This window comes from Homo sapiens, chromosome 2, assembly GCF_000001405.40.
Source record: "Homo sapiens chromosome 2, GRCh38.p14 Primary Assembly".
In the NCBI taxonomy this organism is placed as follows: Eukaryota; Metazoa; Chordata; class Mammalia; order Primates; family Hominidae; genus Homo; species Homo sapiens.
The window spans coordinates 112,237,750-112,257,565 of record NC_000002.12 but is presented as its reverse complement, the minus strand read 5'-3'; the positions used below and the strand labels follow the sequence as shown (position 1 = coordinate 112,257,565).

Here is a 19,816-nt window from a genome sequence, read left to right as displayed (position 1 = left end):
ATATGACCACACCATCCACTGATTTTTTTTTTTTTTTTTTGAGATGGAGTCTCACTCTGTCTCCCAGGCTGGAGTGCAGTGGCGCAATTTCAGCTCACTGCAACCTCCGCCTCCCGGGTTCAAGCGATTCTCCTGCCTCAGACTCCTGAGTAGCTGGGACTACAGGCGTGCGCCAACCCGCCCAGCTAATTTTTGTATTTTTATTAGAGACAGGGTTTCACCATTTTGGCAGGATGGTCTCTATCTCTTGACCTTGTGATCCACCGGCCTTGGCCTCCCAAAGTGCTGGGATTACAGGTGTGAGCCACCACGCCCAGCCCCATCCACTGATTTTTAAAAATTTCAGTATTATATTTTTTATTTCTAGAAGTTCTACTTGGTTACTTCTCCCCAATTTCTCTATGACACTTTTTATAGTTTCTTTTTTATTAGTTAGATATTACTATGTAGTAAACTACTTAAAAACTTAGTGGCTTAAAACAAGGACCATTTATTTATGTGGGTTAGTAATTTGGACTGGGATCATCTGAGAGTCTTTGGTTCTCTGCAGGACTCCATCATGTGTGTGCTCAGCTGTATGTTGCCTAGGAGGCTTTGCTTTTAGGGTTTTGCTAGCTGTTGACTGGGTGTTTTCGCTGTCCTCCATTAGCCTTATCTTCTACATGCCTCTCCCTTATCGTCAGCAGGGTAGCCTGAGTTTATTGTCCTGAAGAAGGCAGGCATATAAGAGACAGCAGACACATACAAAGCCTCTTGGGGCCTTGGCTTGGTATTGGCAGGCCACTTCTGCATTCTACTAGCTAAGACAAGTCATTCTATCAGGCAAAATCAACTCAGATTAAAGAGGAGGTGAAATAGATCCTACCTCTTTATGGGAGGAGCTGCAAAGTCACATTGCAAAGGACATGGATACAGGAAAGGTTGGAGAAATTGGGGCCTTTTTTGGCATCAATCTAACACAAACATATGTAGCCTTTTATATAGTCTTTGTCTGAAAATGCTAGTGTCTGATGCCTTTGCAGGTCAGATGTTTTAGCTGCTTTTTACCTACCAATCTAATTTTCATTTGTGTCTGGTTATCTTTTGCTGTATGTTGGATATTTTATATAAAAAAGTGTGTATGGTAACAATTTGGGTTCTATAATAATGCTTCCTGCTAAAGAGGGGGTAATTCTAGTTTTTATCTCCTTAATTCAATTTTTTCTCTGAATTTTTAGTAATGATTCATGTTCCATAGGTGATGGCCTACAATATAAACAACATGGGAAAGTAGAATTTCCCTGGGGAAGATGTCTGGCTTCAAATAGTTCCCTTCACTAATCGGTAAAGGGATCCTGATTCATGCCAAGAATCAAACACTCCCTTCACTTACAGAAGCAAGTCAGGTTCTCTATCACTGGCCCAACCTAGGGTTTGAGCCTTCCTTTCTACAGGTCCCTTAAATGGCATTACATTGAGCAAAACTGAGCAATTTCCTGTTCTGCAACAGCATGCTCTATTTTCCTGCCTTCATACAATTCTCTCTACTTGGAATGCCCACTTCCTCTTTTCCTATGGAAATATCTCAAGACCCAGCTCAAATACTCCCTTCTCAAGAAGCCTTCCCAACTGGATGCAATTTTTTCCCTCTTCTGAATTCTCTTAGTATTTGGTACTTTTTAACGGACTTTTCTGTCTTGAGGTTACTTGTGTATTCATTTTAATTCCCATTCAATTGTAGAGACCCTACAAGTTACATTACCTGACTACACATCTGTTTATTCATTTCAAAACTGTGAATGGTAATAGAACATCTTTTACAGGGCTGTTGTGAGGATTAAGTTAGCTAACATGTGAAACGCTATTTCTAAGGAATAGTAGTGGAGTGCTCAGATAAATGTTAGCTGTTACTACCATCCCTTAGAAATACTGTGATTTTGATGGAAGAGTTTTCACCAAGGTGAAAGCAGAATCCTAACAACTAATTTTAAAAATTCTGGGCTGGGGCCGGGCGCGGTGGCTCACGCCTGTAATCCCAGCACTTTGGAAGGCTGGGGCGGGCGGATCACGAGATCAAGAGATCGAGACCATCCTGGCCAACATGGTGAAATCCCGTCTCTACTAAAAATACAAAAATTAGCTGGGCGTGGTGGCAGACACCTGTAGTCCCAGCTACTCAGGAGGCTGAAGCAGGAGACTTGCTTGAACCCGGGAGGCGGAGGTTGCAGTGAGCCGAGATCACGCCACTGCAGTCCAGCCTGGACGACAGAGCTTGACTCTGTCTTTAAATAAACAAACAAACAAACAAATAAATAAATAAAATAAACAAAATTCTACTATCTGAGGTAAAGGACGAAAAAGCTTACAGAAGGGCAACCACGGCGGCGCCTGCGCAGAGCCGAGGCGAAGGAGGCAGGGAGAGACCCGGCCTGCCCAGAGTCGCGGAGGGCGGTGCAGCGCATGCGCGGGGCAGGTGAGGCTGCGCGGGGCGGAGCCTGTGGCCCTGGCGCGGCTCTGGGTCCGTCTCGTCGCGTCCGGGTTGTCACTCTCTCGGGTTGTTACTCTGTAGCTTCCCGGCTCGCGAAAGGGAGGACCTGTCTGGGTCATGGATTTTGAGAATCTTTTCTCAAAACCCCCCAACCCGGCCCTCGGCAAAACGGCCACGGACTCTGACGAAAGGTGATCCCATATCTTTTCATCTTTTGAATGCAGGGGCTCAGCGGGACTCCGCCTCTTAGTTTCTTCTGGATTGGAGGCAGTCCGGGGCCACGTCCGGGCCGCGTCGCGAGGGCCCGTGGGGAGCACGTGGGCCGGCCGGGCGCCACCGTCTGACCTATAGAGGTCGTGCGGGGTCCGGGTGGGAGCAGAAGCTGAACGCGGGGCTCAGGCTTAGGCCGTCAGGGCCGGGGCTGTCGAGAGCCTGGGCGGGGGAGCGGGGTGGAGGCGAGAAGGCTCCGGGATGCGCCCCTTTCTCTGCACAGCAGCGGGTGAGGAGCCCGCCTCTGTGGTCCCGTAGCGTCTGTCTTTACCGTTGTTGCCTGTTTCCACGAGACCGTAAACTCCCAGAGGACACTGATGTGACCTTTTTCACTGACACCTCCTAGGTTCTTTTCTGTAGAAAGGATGAAACCACAAGTTTATTGAAAGGTAAAGAATAGGCAATACTCTGCCATTAGTCCACTGATTTGCATGGAAAGACCCTAAAGACCACAATAAAGCAACAGACGTCATTTGGACTTAATATTTCCATTAGGTTGGAAAAGCAAGTGAGACTCTTGGTCAGATGGCCCTAATTTGTAGATTATATTTTTGGAGCAGTGTCTAGTGATTTGAAATGCTAAAAACCACCATCTTTGTTCTTAAACCTACGTCTTTTATTTCCCTCAACTGAGATATATTTCCAGTTGTGATTGATTTTACCATTCGATATTGGTCAGCTGTTCACTCTATCTCAAATTTTACCTTAACTGATCATCCAGAGCTTTACCTTGTGCTTTACATGAAATAAATCACTTAATCCTCAAAACAAACTTAAAGAGAAGATGATGCCGTCCTCGTTTTACAGATGGGAAAACTGAGGCACGGAGAGGCTAAATAACCTGCCGAGATTGCACAGTGTAAGTGGAAGAGCTATGTCCAGGATCCATGATTTTATCACCAAGCTTCTCATGCAAAATGACTAAAATTTTAAAATAAGCCCTATAAATATTGGAAAGAGACAGATACACTAATTACTTGCAGATGATATAATTTACTAAGAAAAATAACTGGTACTAATTGATATGTTATAAAATACATAAGAATTCATCACACAAAAAAAAGATAATAGCAACATTTAAAAATCCGAACAGCAGCTATCAGTTTCAAAGTGTGTTGGACACAAGCTCCATTCCCCAAAACTTGACTGCAATACATAAAAGACACTTGGAATTTTGCCAAAATGATGGGTGAAGGATGGTATGGAAGTATGGTGAGCTGTCCATATTATTTGCCCATTTTTCTCCTTTTTGGTCTTTTTCACATTCTAGGATCTCTTATCTGCGAATACTTTACTCCCAATTGTCATTTGTCTTTGCCTATGGCATTATTTTTCAATGTAAAAAGGAATGGGGATGTTGTGGTTTGGTTTTATGCAGTCAGATGAATCAGTCTTTTCTCATATGGTTTCTGGTTTTTTTTCCGAGTAATTTGTGATGGGAATACTTCTCATTCATTCAAAAAATCGTATTGAGCACCTGCTACGGCCTTGGGGATATAGTAGTAAATGAAGAAGAGATGAAAATTTCTGTACTAATGAATTTACATTATTAGGGGAAGGGGGAGACATACATAAATATATCATATTTTAGGTGGTACTAAATGCCCTGAGAAAATGAATGAAGGGTAAGGGGAAAATAAGCACTGGTGGGATGGTAGGGAGGGAGTAGTTTTGTGGGTTTTTTTTTTATTTTTTTGAGCAGAGTCTGGCTCTGTCGCCCAGGCTGGGGTGCAGTGGCGCGATCTCGGCTCACTGCAAGCTCTGCCTTCCGGGTTCACACCATTCTCCTGCCTCAGCCTCCCGAGTAGCTGGGACTACAGGCGCCTGCCACCACGCCCGACGTATTTTTAGTAGAGACGGGGTTTCACCATGTTAGACAGGATGGTCTCGATCTCCTGACCTTGTGATCTGCCCGCCTTGGCCTCCCAAAGTGCTGGGATTACAGGCGTGAGCCACCGCGCCCGGCTGGGAGGTGTAGATATTTTAAGAAGGTAGATAAGGAAAGCCTCACTGATAACATTGGTAAGTTTTAAAAATCTGTGTAGGGACCTGAAGGAGGTGAGGGGGTTTCATAGTCCAGAGGGGTGGAGAGGAGTCTGTATAAAGGTCCTCAGACGGAGTGAGCTTGGTGTGATTGGGTTAGGGGAGCAAAGTGGCCAGGACAGCTGGGGTGGAGTAAGAGGGACTTGGAAGTCTGCGAGGTACTGGGGTAGGGTTAGGGGAGCCCAATCATGGAGGAACTGGTAGGTGCCGAAATAAGGACTTTGGCTTTTACTCTGAATGAGACAAGAGACCATTGGAGGGTTTTTCAGCAGAGTGACATTTGAAATATTTTAGCAGGGTCATTCTAGTTGTGTTGAGAGTAGAATGTAGGGGTGCCAGAGCAGCTTGGATTGTTGTATTAGTGGCAAGAAGTGGTCAAACGTGGGTATGTTGAAGATAGAATAAACTGGATTTCCTCAGAGATTGGATGGGGATGTGAGAGAGGAATCAAGATTGACTTTAAGGTTTTGGTAGGGATCTTGAGAGGGATGGTGTTGCCGTTTTAGATAGCAAGAAGGATTAGGCTTCAGAGAGAAGAGCAAGAGTTCAGTGTTGGATGTTTTAAGATTACATATGTCTAGTAGATGTTCAGGTGGTTATGTTGACTAGGAAGTTAGCTCTGTTTGGATTTAAGAAGAGGGGTTTGGGTTAGAGACTTGGATATTGAAATCAACTACATACAGATGATATTCATAGTGATGATATAGAAAGGGATAGCCTGGAATGAGAATATAGATGAGAATATAGACAAAGAAGAGAAGAGGTGAGAACTGACTTTGAAAGTTGTGAAGATAAGGAACCAACAAAGGAGACTGAGAAGTAGTAGCTGTGGAAAGAAGAAACTAGAAGAGCCCACTATCTCTGAAGCTAAGTAAAGAACATGTTTTACAGAGAAGAGGTGGTCACCTCTGTCCTATCCTGCTCATAGGTCTAATATGGGTGCTGAGTATTGTAGACCTTCACAGTGAAAGTAGACATCTATTTAGAATGGGCAGTGTTGAATAACAGTGTGATTGTAGGGCACATACTTGGGAGCTTTGCCTGCCTGCTGGGGCTCAGATCTCAGCTCCACCATGTATTAGCTCTGTGACAAGTTACATATCCTTTCTGTGATTGTTTTCTCATCCGTAAAATGGGCTTTTAGTATGTATGTCATAACACTGTTGTTTGTGGTAAGTGTTACGTGTATGGAGCAGCATCTGGCACAGAGTAAGCATCATTCAAGTGTTGGCTGATGCTGTTACTGCTATTGAGGTCATTATTGTCATTATTCCTCTGCCTAAGGAGAGGTTGCCTCCTACTCCATGAGATGATTCATTACTGGAAACTATAGCTATAAAGATTCACAAGTATTGGGGTTTTTGGTTCTTGTAATGGTGGCTTCTGTAGCAGGCTCACAACTTAGTACCTCATCTGATGGATGTAACTCTGGAGCTCTGAGTCAGTGTAAACTGTTGAATTGGACAAAGCTGTGAAGCCTGAGCTCCTGTAACTTTGAAAGAACAGCCACGGAGCCACTGTTCACATTCTCCTTGTGCTGTCAGTGCTTTCCCTTTGTAACATGTTCTCTTGAGATGGGACACATTCCCCAATTCCTTGCCTTTATCTGGTGTGTAACTCATATTTTAATTCACAGCTTTTCCCAATCTTGTGTTCAATAGTCACCACTTACTAAGATAATATTTTCTTCAGCTCCCTATATTTCTAGTATCAACCATTATTCAGATACATCTATACATTTTATTGTCTTCTTTGTTCACCATGTTCTTATATTTCCCATCCCTCTTGGGTTCATATTTAGTTTTGCTGGAATAGCCTCAAGTAATTGTCTCAGACTGTTATATATATGCATGGTCAACTTCTCAGTCCTGTAAGTCTGAAAACAGTTTTTCTTTTTCATCTTTACACTTAAATGTGTTTGTCTCGCTCCTAATCTCAAAAGGCACTCTGCATTCTGCCTAAAATACCCTTCTCTCTCACATTCCTCTTTCCTCTTTTTTGGCTAACTCATAAGTATCATTTAGGCTCTGAATGCCTCTGATCCCCAAGTCTGGGTTGTGTTCCCCATATATGCCCCTATACTTACCATACCATATTGAAATAGCTTTATTTTTTTCTCCCAAGGAGATAGAAAGCTCTCAGAACACAGTGACAGGGTCTGTATTTTTCATTGTTGTAGTCCAGGGCCTAAGGCCCGGAGCCTCGTACATGGTGGGTACTTAGTAGTTGTTGAATTAATGGAATGATGGATGAATGAATGATTTATATAGCTGCTAATACTTGAACATTAAGGCTTTATAATCTAAAATTTTACAGGCTATTCATAAATATATATGGACATTTATTGGTCATCATAATTTTGTACATTTTCTGGAGTATTTGGTATAGAATTTGAATTTGTAATTTCTTTGAGGGTAAGTTGAAGACAAGCCAAAGCAGTGAATTGTAACGCTGTGGTATGAACACTTCAGGTTGAAAAAACTCTTTTGTGTTATTTGATATTTTTGCTACAGAATCGATGATGAAATAGATACAGAAGTTGAAGAAACACAAGAAGAGAAAATTAAACTGGAGTGCGAGCAAATTCCCAAAAAAGTAAGATTAAGTTGACCACTGTTTAAGTTGAAAACGCAGATTTTTTTTTCTCAGTTTCACATGGAACAACAAAAAAAGAAAAAACAGATGGAAATGGATATGAGAAATTAATGAAGGATCCTACTTGTCTCATTTTACCAGCATTTGGGACCCAGTTACTTATATCAAAGAAAACTGGTTATACTTTTTAAATAAATTATTATTTAATAACTTTATTGTCATTTAACATGACATATGTTTAATAATTGCATTTATTTCTATTTTTGTTATTTCTGAAATGGACTGTAAACAGTTTCAAAAGCTTCTTTCAAGTTGGGTTAACATTTTTGAGGGTTATGATTTGTTAACTTAACCAACCTTAGTGATTTATAGCTTAAAGCCCGTATTAGTTCATTAGGGCTGCCATAACAAAGTACCACAGACTGGGTGGCTTAAACAACAGAACTTGGCTGGGCGCGGTGGCTCACGCCTGTAGTCCCAGCACTTTGGGAGGCCGAGGTGGATGGATCATGAGGTCAGGAGTTTGAGACCAGCCTGGCCAATATGGTGAAACCCATCTCTACTAAAAATACAAAAAAATTTAGCCAGGCATGGTGGCATGCACCTGTAGTCCCAGCTACTAGGGAGGCTGAGGCAGAAGAATCACTTGAACCCAGGAGGTGGAGGTTGCAGTAAGCCAAAATCCCGCCACTGCACTCCAGCCTGGGCAACAAAGCGAGACTCCGAATCAAAACAAAAACAAAAACAAAAAAAACCCCAGAACTTTATTGTCTCAAGGTTCTGGAGGCTGGAGGTCCCAGCACAAGGTGTTGGCAGGGTTGGTTCCTTCTGAGGCTGTGGGGAAGAATCTATTCATTCATCTCCCCTAGCTCCTGATGGAATGCTGGCAATCTTTGGTGATGGCTTGCAAAAGTATCATCCTGATTTCTGCCTTCATATTCACATGGTGTTCTCCCTGTATGCCTGTGTCTGAATTGTCTGAATTTCCTTTTTTTGAGACAGAGTCTTGCTCTGTCACCCAGGTTGGAGTGCAGTGGCACAATCTCTGCTCACTGCAACCTCCTTCTGGACTCAAGCAATTCTCAGCCTCCCAAGTAGCTGGGATTACAGGTGTGCACCACCACGCCCAGCTAATTTTTGTGTTTTTTGTAGAGAAAAAATATACATGGGGTTTCGCCATGTTGCCCAGGCTGGTCTCGAACTCCTGGGGTCAAGCGATCTGACCGCCTCGGCCTCCCAAAGTGCTGGGATTACAGGCCTGAGCGACTGTGCCCGGCTGAATTTTCCTTTTTTATAAGGAAATCAGTCACTGGACTAGGGCCCACCCTAATGACCTAATCTTAATTAATTACACTTGCAATGACCCTATTTCCAAAAAAGGTCACATTCTGAGGTATTAGGGGTTAGTAGTTCATTATAAGAATTTTGGGAGGGTGCAGTTCAACCCATAACAAAGGTAATGTATATTCCTATCTTGCCCTTCTTTTCTGTTTTTGAACATGGAGAAACGCCATCTCTACTAAAAATACAAAATTAGCCAAGCATGGTGGCAGGCACCTGTAATCCCAGCTACTCAGGGAGCTGAGGCAGGAGAATCGCTTAAACCCGGGAGGCAGAGGTTGCGGTGAGCCGATATCATGCCATTGCACTCCAGCCTGGGCAACAAGAGCAAAATTCCATCTCAAAAAAAAAATGAGTTTTAACACACTATAGAAGAATGGGTTAAATTGTCACTGAGACTTATAAGACAGAAATAGACTTTAATAGTGTATCTTTTACTTAGCTTTCTTGCTTGCTTGCTTTTTCTTTTTCTTTCTTTCTTTTTTTCCTTTTCTTTTTCTTTTTCTTTCTTTTCTTTCTTTCTTTCTTTTCTTTCTGTCTCTGTTGCCCAGGCTGGAGTGTGGTAGCATGATCTTGGCTCACTGCAACCTCCTTCTCCTGGGTTCGAGCAGTTTTCCCACCTCAGCCTCCCGAGTAGCTGGGACTACAGGCACACGCCACCACACCTGGCTAATTGTTGTATTTTTAGCAGAGACAGGGTTTCATCATGTTGCCCAGGCTGGTCTCAAACTCCAGAGCTCAAGTGATCTGCCAGCCTCGGCCTCCCGAAGTGCTAGGATTATAGGTGTGAGCCACCATGCCCAGCCTCCTTAGTTTTATAAAAGAATACAGGACAGATGATAAAGCAGGTACAGTATCTTCATCTTCTTGGAAGCCTCTCAGCTACCCAAGTAAGCAACTTCTTTTCCCCTTTGGGGCCTATGTGGCTTCCAAAGATGAGAGCCAAGGTTGACGACAAGAAATTGCAACTTCAACTTCCCACAAGTTTTTTATACTGCTTGAGTCACATAGGCCTCAGTCTTTTATGCCCACTTTTAGCTCCTCCAGACTTCGTATTATATATTATAACCTTCCACAGCAGACAGGCAGAAACAACATTCTACAACTGTCTTACATAGTTTCTGCAAAACAGTACTGTGAGAAGATGGACTCCTAGGTTATTCTCAACCAGGCTTGCTTCAGTGCAGCCTCTTCACTCACAAGTATGTAAAAGGTGAATACATTATCAAATAAATATCACAGCTAATTAATTAATTAACTTATTTATTTTTGAGACAGAGTCTCACTCTGTTGCACAGGCTGCAGTAAAGTGGCAAAATCTTGGCTCACTGCAACCTCCACCTCCCAGGTTCAAGCAATTCTCCTGCCTCAGCCTCCCGAGTAGTTGGGAATACAGGTGCCTGTCACCCACCTTGCCTGGCTAATTTTTGTATTTTTAGTAGAGATGGGTTTTTGCCATGTTGGCCAGGCTGGTCTCGAACTCCTGAGCTCAAGTGATTGGCCCGCCTCAGCCTCCCAAACTGCTGGGATTACAGGTGTGAGCCACCATGGCTGGCTATAGCTTATTTAAAAGAGAATACCCAGGTAAACACTTTGCAAGTTAAGAAAGAGCATTACCTCAGATTTTGAGGGTTTGATTTCATACCACCACAATAAAACAAATATTGCAGTAAAGCTAGGCACAAGAATGTTTTGGTTTCCCAGTGCATATAAAAGTTACATTTATACTATACAGTACTCTGTTAGGTGTCCAATACCATTATATTTTAGAAAACAGTATATATCTTAATTAAAAATTCTTTGTTGCTAAAAAATGTTAACAGTCAGCGAGTCATCTTTTTGATGGCAGAGGGTCTTGCCTCAGTGTTGATAGCTGCTGAGGGTGGTGACTGCTAAACACTGAGGTGGCTCTGGCAATTTCTTAAAATAGGACAGCAGTAAAGTTTGTCACCTCAATTGACTTCTCCTTTTACAAAATATTTCTCTGTAGTATGTGATGCTGTTTGATAGCATTTTACCCACAGTAAAAATTTCAAAATTGGAGTCAATCCTCTCAACCCCTGCCACTGCTTTATCAACTAGGTTTATATAATATTCTAAATCTGTTGTCATTTCAACAATGTTCATAGCATCTTCACCAGAAATAGATTGCATCTCAAGAAACCACATTGTTCACTTGTAAGAAGCAGCTCCTCATCTGTTCAAGTTTGATCATGAAGTTGCAGCAATTCAGTCACGTCTTCATTCTCCACTTCTAATTCTAGTTCTCTTGCTTTTCCACCACACCTGCAATTACTTCGTCTACTGAAGTCTTGAACTCCTCAAAGTCATCCCTGAGGGTTGCAATCACCTTCTTTCAAACTCCTGTTATTGTTGATATTTGACCTTCTGCCATGAATCACGAATGTTCTTAATGTCAGCTAAAATGGTGAATCCTTTCTAGGTTTTCAATTTACTCTGCCCAGATCCATCAGAGAAATCACTTTCTATGGCTACTATAACCTTAAAAAGTGTATTTTGTATTTATTTCTTAAATAAGACTTGAAAGTCAATTATTCCGTGATCCATAAGCTGCAGAATGGTTGTTGTGTTTGTGGACATGAAAACATTCATCTCCATCAGAGCTCTTGGGTGACTGGGTGCATTGTCAATGAGCAGTAGTATTTTGAAAAGGATATTTTTTCTGAGCAGTAGGTCTCAACAGTGGGCTTAAAATAGTCAGTAAACCATGCTGTAAACAGATATACTGCCATCTGGGCTCTGTTGCTCCATATATAGAGCACAGGCAGAGTATATTTAGCATAATTCTTAAGGGCCCTAGAATTTTCAGACTGGTAAATGAGCATTGGTTTCAACTTAAAGTCACCAGCTGCATTAGCTCCTAACAAGAGTTAGCCTATCTTTTTGAAGCCTTTTAAAGTATTTTATTTGTATAAATTTACGGGGTGCAAGTGCAATTTTGTTACATGCATAGATTGTAGTGGTGAAGTCAGGGTATTCTTTGAAGTGAGGTATTGACTTCTCTCTAGTTATGAAAGTCCCAAGTGGCATCTTTTTCCAACATAAGGCTGTTTCATTTACATTGAAAATCTGTTGTTTAGTGTGGCCACCTTCATCAATGATCTTAGCTAGATCTTCTGGATAATTTGCAGCTTTTACATCAGCACTTGTTGCTTCATCATGCACATTGCTTTTTGAGATGGAGTCTTGCTCTGTCACCCAGGCTGGAGTGCATTGGCATTACCTTGGCTCACTGCATCGTCTGCCTCCTGGGTTCAAGCGATTCTCCTGCTTCAGCCTCCTGAGTAGCTGGGACTACGGGTGTGCACCATCACACCCAGTTAATTTTTGTATTTTTAGTAGAGACGGGGTTTCACTATGTTGGCTAGGCTGGTCTTGAACCCCTGGCCTCAAGTGATCTGCCCGCCTCGGCCTCCCAAAGTGCTGGGATTATAAGCGTGAGCCACCGCGCCTGGCCTGTCATGCACTTTTTATGTGATGGAGACATCGTCTATCCATAAACCTCAAGAACCAACCTCTGCTAACTTCAGACTTTCCTTCTGCAGCTTCCTCACCTTTTTCCACCTTCATAGAATTGAAGAGAGTTAGGGCCTTGCCCTGGATTAGGCTTTGGCTTAAGGGAATGTTATGACTGGTTTGATCTTCTATCCAGACCAATACAATTTCTCTGTATCAGCAATAAGGCTGTTTTGTGTTCATATCATTAGTGTGTTCACTGGAGTAGCACTTTTACTTTCCTTCAGGAACCTTCCCTTTGCATTCACAAGTTGGCTATTTGGCTTACGAGGCCTAGCTTTCAGCTTGTCTTGACTTTTGACATGCCTTCCTCACTAAGCTTAATCATTTCTAGCTTTTGATTTCAGTAGAGACATATGATTCTTCCTTTCCCTTGAACACTTAGAAGCCATTGTAGGGTTATTAATTAGTCTAATTTCAGTATCTTAGTGTCTCAGGGAATAGGGAAGCCTGAGGGGAGAGGGAGGGAGAGAGACAGGAGAATGGCTGGTTGGTGGAGCAGTCAGAACACATGCAACATTTATCGATTAAGTTCGCCATCTTATGTGGGCATGGTTCATGGCACCCCCTCAAAAATTACAATAGTAACGTCAAAGACCACTGATCACAGATCGCTATAACAGATGTATTGCGAGAATTACCAAAATGTGACACAGAGACACAGAGTGAACACATGCTTTTCAAAAAATGGTGCCAATAGACTTGTTTGATGCAGGGTTGCCACAGACCTTCAATCTGTAAAAGAAATGTGTTATTTGTGACACACAGTAAAATGAAGGACATCAAATAAGGTATGCCTATAACTTTCTTTGTAGATATCTCACATCTTATATACCTTTTGTTATATTTATTGCTAAGTGTTTAATGAAACTATTGTGAATAATTTTTTTTAAGTATCATTTTCTAGCTGTTGGTTTCTCATTGGTTGGCATACACCCATATGTAGGGATGCATGGAAGACAGATTTTTGAGTTCTTGTTAACATTTCTGAAAATATCTTGAATTTACCTCATTGTTGATAGTTTGGCTGAAATAGAATTAAGTTTGAGGTTACTGCTCCATTGTCTTCTACTATCCAGTGTTACAAAGGTGAAATTTACCAATTTCATTCTAATATCTTTGTAAGTATCCTGTTTTCTCTGGAAGCTTTAAGGCTCTTCTCTTCATTCTTGGCATTCTTAATTCTATGCGATTGTGAATCTTTTTTCATTCATTCTGCTTAGTGCTATTGTGGTGAGATTATTTATTCATATCCTTTTATATGAGACATATCTCTTATTTTTTATCTTTTTTCTTTATATCCCAAGATATTTCCTCTGTTTCTATTTATCATTATTTCATAAATTACAATTTAACTAAGATCTTATTCTTGTTTTGATAGCTTTCTAACATTGTTTTTGAATATATTTTTTAATATCTTTGTGTATTTTTAAATTTTCGAGTTCTTTTTCTCAAATGATAGTTGCTTCTTCTGGATCTGTTTTTCAGTTATTTTCTTGCTTTTTTGTTATGTTCTGGAGATCAGGGATCAGTAAGCATTTTCTATAAAGGACAAGACAATAAATATTTTAGGTTTTTAAGGCAAGAAGCAAAATTGAGGATGTTATGTACGTATTTATATAATGAAGGAGAGAAAACAAGTTTCCACAACACAGCCTTTGACTGATAGACTTCAGTACATAATAATAATTGTTTTTTAATACGATTCTAATGAGAAGAATGGGATTCTTCTTTGTGAGGTAATTATTTGCTTAATTGGGGTTCAAAGTTACTGTTCCTTATCAAAATTGATTGCAAAGATTCATCTGTTAAGCTGATATATAATAAGACTTTATTTCATCTCTGAAAATGTCTTTTCGCTACAGATGGATATTGCCCAATACTGATATCAGTTCACCAGAATATGATCTTAATTGAGCATATACATTGCCTGGAAGACATTTATGGAACTTTGTTCGATTCTTCTCTTAGATTTGTCTTTTAGCATGTTACTACATTGCAGATGAGTCACTGCCAATCAAAGGTTAGGCGGAAGCTCCTCAGTTGCATAGTTAAATGGATTTTGAAGCACTTAAAGTCTGAAAAAACACTTCTGGAACTGTTTGAGTGTGCAAAATATATCTGCTGCAAATTAATGTAGGTATGGAGATCTTGTTCCTATTTTAACTTTGAACAGCACAGTGATACCAAGCAGTGTCAGTAACACCTGTGAACTCATTAAAAGCCAAGGAAAACCACTGGAAAGTATTTACCTGGTTTTAAATTGTCTGATGAAGCTCCAGTTTCCTCATATCTTTGAGCAGCTGTTCTTGCCAAAAGGCCACTTGTCTTAAGAACTTTATTTTCTCTGGACAGATTTCTTTGCTGTAATCAATCATGATTTAATTAACTCATTATAAGCTTTCTTTGGCTACAAATGAAACTTACTTTGATTATAGTCTTGTTTTTGTTTTATTTTTGGAAAGATCTGTGGATGTGATCATTTATTTTAAATTGTCTAATTTTAAAAAAGAATAATTTTAATCAGAAGAGAGCTGGAGTAAAATTTTCTAATTTTTCTGTTACTCTCTTGTGAGTTGGGAATATTGTGGTGAATGCTTAATACTGTAATGTCAACATACATTGTTTTCTTTTAGCACTACTGTAGTATTGTTACATAATAACCACAGTGATTTGCCGTCTGACTTGACAGTATAATAATCCACAATTCACTGCGCCTTTAAATACTTGACATTTGAAGTTTGCTTTTTGTGTTTTGATGTGGTAAGTATGCTCTGGAAAAAAAATTAAATAGCATGAGGTACTCAATGAAGCACTCAAAATGTTGTCAATTTATAACTGAGCATCTCTACGAAGTGATGAGAATGCCATGAAGGTCTCTTGCAGCTACTCAGCTCTGCTGTTGTAGCAAAGAAGCAGGCCATATAATATATAAATGAATGAGTATGCCTATGTTCCAATAAAATTGTATTTATGGACTCTGAAATTTAAATTTTATATAGTTTTCAAGTGTCATGAAATATTCTTTTGATTTCTTTTGTTTCAACCATGAAAAAATATGTAAAGTTCATTCTTAGCTTGTGGGTGCTTACAAACACAGGTGGCAGAGCGGATTTTGCCCTTGGGTTGTAGTTCACTGACTCCAGCTCTAGATTTTTGTCACATGCTTTTGTATTCCTTTGTTGTCCATTCATTTAAGAAAGGCCCAGAGAGTTAATAGATGTCCTCTGCTGATGTGTTGGTAAGTCTGTGTCTCTAAAGGCCTTTTCTCTAAATAGGAAGCCTGACTGGGTGGTGAGTGAGTAGGCTGTGTGGATAGGAGGTTTTCCAGCAGTGTAACAATTCTCAGTCCACTTTGTGCCATGCACCCCCTTTAGCAGTCTGGTGAAGCCTATGGACCCCTTTTCAAGTTTTTTAAGTGTATAAAATAAAATGTTTGATTACAAAGGAAATTGATTTGATTGAAATACAGTTTATCAAAATATTAAAAACAAATGCTATAGAGTAATATGTTCTTTATTAATACACTGAATATTAAGACCTAGCAGAGCAGTTAGTCTGATTCTAATTTTGCAGTGGTCATGAACATAAAAGGTATTTTGAGATCTGCAACAACTATAATGTGATACATGAAAATATCTGTGATTTGTGTTAGTGACAGTCACAGGCACTGCTGATACTGCTATATTTTGTTTCCTATGTTCAAAACGGAATAACATATTTGAACATACTTCCTTTGTTCAAATACCAAATGTCAATTTGGAGGTTGATGAAAATAATATGTGGTTTTCTTCTCATTCAAGTTCACTGAATTTTCTGAATTCAAGTTCACTGAATTTTCTGAATTCAATCCATAGGCCCTTGAGGGGGGGGTCTCTGGACAGCAGGGTGAGAACCCCTGCTTTATGGTGAGTAGGATGGAGTATTTTTCTAGTAGGGGTTGCTCCCAAATGCCAGCCCATGGAAGATTTAGTACCTCCATGTGGGTGGTCGTAGTACCCACATCTTAGCTTTTACCAGACATTCTATTCCATTTCTTTGGATAACAGCCTTCTCTTTTTTTCCTAGGGAAAGTACCTGGGTGGTTGTGTTCTGGAGAGGGAGAGGGCAGAGAGAATTTGTTGTAACAGCTTTGTCTGTTTTTTGTAGAATTTTAATTCATTCTCATTTATAGCCCCATTTCTCACACTGTACCTAAGCCCACCCTTTAGAGCATAACTTCCTTTTTGTCTATCAGAAATTTGACTCTTAATTCCTGATGAATGCACTTCATGCCTCCCATACACACACACACACACACACAAAACACAACACACATACACACGCGCACACACACACACACACACACACACACACACACTGTTACCTGTACTTTAATTTTGGAGGTTTCTGGAGGCCATACTAGTTCAGTAAACCATCTTGAATAAAAAAAGTTATTTAGACTCTTACAAAAGGAGAAAGGGGATGTAATCATGTTCGTATGCTTTTTAAATTATACAAAAAACAACAAACTGAAGCAATGAGTTTATAGCTAGCTAAGTGAAGAAAAGTATTCAATTATTTGTATTTTATATATTTCAATGCCCTCTGAAAAGAATCATTAGTAATATTTATCCCTACTGTATAATAAAACAGCAAAATTGATGATTGTCCTGGCTTTATTAATGTTGCCAGATTGTTTCATGTCTTCATTTAATGTAAGTCCAACGTATTATTACTTGTCGTAAAAGGAGTCTGCTTCAATACTGTAGGCCTATGTGTTTTGTGCAGACAGAGGGAACTTAATCACTCATTTGGATCATTTTAATATTTTGATTCAGATGCACTGAAGAAAATCTCACCTCTATGTATTTGATTAAGCTAAACTTCATAGGAGCTGCTGCATACTGAATAATCTTTTTGGTTCCCCCATGCCTACTAAATAAAATTAAAGGCCAAAACCAAGGTAAACATAATCTATCACAGGAGTCGGCCAACCTTTTCATAAAGGATCAGTTAGTGAATCTTTTCACCTTTGTAGGCCATGTTGTCTCTGTCACAACTAAGACAATATGTAAATGAATGGATGTAATTGGTGTTACAGTAAAACTGTATTTACAGAAACAGGTGGTGAAGCTGAAAATTTGCCAACCCCTGATCTATCAGTCCAGAAGTTACATTTACAAGTTTATTCTATGGTGTTAATGGGGAAAAGGCACTCTTTCTTGAAGACCTAGAGACAAGAAGTTTGGTGGCCTGAAGATAATTGGTTGATAGTCTTGTCTGGTGTAGGGAAGATAAGGTATAATTGAGGCCATTGTCAGATCAAGAAACTTCCTCAGCTTGTTTGGATTCTTTAAGCAGGGAGCAAGTTCATTTTCTAGGCTTATAATCAATCCTCTGGTGGAACAACTCCTAACTTTGAAGTTAACCATCAGAAGTAAACTGTTGCCGGGCATGGTGGCTCATGGCTGTAATCCTAGCACTTTGGGAGGCCGAGGCAGGCGGATCACTTGAGGTCAGCAGTTCAGGACCAGCCTGGCCAATAGGGTGAAACCCTGTCTCTATCAAAAATACAAAAATTAGCTGAGCATGGTGGTGCATGCCTGTAGTCCCAGCTACTCGGGAGGCTGAGGCAAGGGAATCGCTTGAGCCTGGGAGGCAGAGGTTGCAGTGAGCCAAGATCGTGCCACTGCACTCCAGCCTGGGCAATAGAGTGAGAATCCATCAAAAAAAAAAAAAAAAAAAAAAAAAGTAAACTGTTAAATTGGGCCACCTAATATATTTTATAATAGCGATTCTTCTGTTTTGTTTTTTGTCTGTTTGTTTTGAGTTTGCTTCTTAGTTATCATGTGAAAGCAAATAAGAGACCAGGCCCCAAAGTATGCTTTGAAACAAAATCATTATCCACTGTAATGATAGGCATGCCATTTCTTCGTGACATCAGAATAGGAGCCCTTTGATACTTGGTCATTTTTTAAAAATAAACTTTCTGATTAAAATGTGTCATACATACTAATTATAATGATACAGTTTAATATACCTGTGTCACCAAGTGTAGAAACACATGTAACCAATACCTGAAAATTTTTATGCAGAAATTGCTTTAAGTCATTGCTGTCATCAGCCTGGGCTCCTCTAGGATTAGCTCCCATGCCTGGGTTCTTCACCCTTGCCTTGGGCACGTGCAACAACAGAGTTAGGAAACTCTTTCTGCAAGTAAAGTTAACTTGATTACAGAGAATAGGGTAGTTCTTTATTCCTTGTCATCATTGCTGCTACCACTTCTGTGAGTTATAGGAGAAAGACTAGACTTTGGTAGCTTAGATGTATCTTAAGTGTAAGTGGGTTTTCATATGGACCATTACAGTTTACTTGGGGTGTTTTACAAAATGATAAATTATTGAAGACATTTAAAAGTACTGTCAATGCAAAGGCAGAAATGTAATGTGTGAACTGTAATACTGTAATCCTCTCATATCAAATAATTAAGATTTAGGGGTTTAGACTTTTAATTCAGTCAAAGGCACACAATGTACAAATTTAGAATTTTCCCTCAAATCATCTTTAAGGATAGATATGTCATAGTGGTTTGTTAGTTTGTTTTTAATTCTGGAAATTTTTTCTTTTTTTTAATTCTGGAAATTTTCAAATATATGAGTGGAGAGAATAGTATATGAATCCCATGTACCTATTACCCACCTTCAACAATGACCAGTTTATAGCCAATCTTGTTTCTTCTGTATAGCCAGATTGTTTTGAATCATGCTAGGTTTTTAAAATTGAAGTTTTAATTTTTACTTAGTTTAGACACTCTGCAATATCACCAAAAAGTTCGCTGCATAGAAAATCAAGAAGTAAGGACTATGATGTATATAGTGATAATGATATCTGCAGTCAGGAATCAGAAGATAATTTTGCCAAAGAGCTTCAACAGTACATACAAGCCAGAGAAATGGCAAATGCTGCTCAACCTGAAGAATCTACAAAGAAAGAAGGAGTAAAAGATACCCCACAGGGTAAGAGTCAAACTATTTTATCATTTAAAGTTTATCTAGAGAAGCAGTCACAGTTGTCCATATACGGACAGAGGATTTTTCTTTGCACTTTATCTTATGATAAGACTATGGTTTTCATGAATATTTATACCAGACATGAGCTTGCATGGCCAGAGACCCCATCTGAGACCTGGCCACTTGGTGCATTAAATGCTTAGTTTGTAGAGGGAGCTGGAGGATGGAGGTGGGTTATCAAAGGCCCTGACTATTTCTAAAGGGAGAATGCTAAAGCCCTGGCCTCTGCATGTGTGAAGGATAGGATATGCCTGCTTGTATTGCTGTCATTTAAAGAGGATTGACTGGAATGGTTGTATGTCAGACTGTAACTCAGAAATATATTCTTCTAGATTACTAAAATGAGATTTAGCCATAAATATGAGGGCAAATGGCAATTATAAATGAAATTTTTGGCCAGGCATGGTGGCTCACGCCTGTAATCCCAGCACTTTGGAAGGCCGAGGCTGGTGGATCACTTGAGGTCAGGAGTTCGAGACCAGCCTGGCCAACATGGTGAAACCTAAAAATA

At 40.1% G+C, this 19,816-nt stretch overlaps 2 protein-coding genes across 4 annotated transcripts in view, besides 2 other annotated features; one reads left to right on the top strand and one right to left on the bottom strand.

Annotated features, from left to right (window-relative positions):
- Positions 540–791: a transcriptional cis regulatory region, noted in NCBI's record as "candidate enhancer chr2.4107 targeted for multiplex CRISPR interference". NCBI's record gives its function as "positively regulates ZC3H8 gene expression in K562 cells {active_cell/tissue: K562}" and the evidence as "EXISTENCE:mutant phenotype evidence [ECO:0000015][PMID:30612741]".
- Positions 2,342–2,551: a silencer, noted in NCBI's record as "silent region_11870". NCBI's record gives its function as "represses an Ori minimal core promoter by ATAC-STARR-seq in GM12878 lymphoblastoid cells {active_cell/tissue: GM12878}" and the evidence as "EXISTENCE:reporter gene assay evidence [ECO:0000049][PMID:35858748]".
- ZC3H8 (zinc finger CCCH-type containing 8) overlaps positions 2,524–19,816 on the top strand; it is a 43,514-nt gene continuing 26,221 nt past the window's right edge. For both annotated transcript variants that reach the window (XR_001738994.2, NM_032494.3), the window contains exons 1-3: positions 2,524–2,658; positions 7,294–7,375; positions 19,038–19,251. Coding sequence is in view for 1 of the 2 variants with exons in the window: in NM_032494.3 (NP_115883.2) it covers positions 2,585–2,658; positions 7,294–7,375; positions 19,038–19,251 (370 nt within the window). In the remaining variant the exon portion in view is untranslated. The remainder of the gene's footprint in view (positions 2,659–7,293; positions 7,376–19,037; positions 19,252–19,816) is intronic.
- Positions 12,858–19,816, bottom strand: part of FBLN7 (fibulin 7) — a 106,324-nt gene continuing 99,365 nt past the window's right edge. Inside the window, exons 9-10 of one of the 2 annotated variants that reach the window (XR_007069507.1) lie at positions 18,313–18,445; positions 12,858–14,617 (exon numbers count right to left, since the gene is read on the bottom strand). The gene's annotated coding sequence lies outside the window, so the exon portion shown is untranslated. The remainder of the gene's footprint in view (positions 14,618–18,312; positions 18,446–19,816) is intronic. The other variant, XR_007069508.1, reaches the window with a different exon arrangement.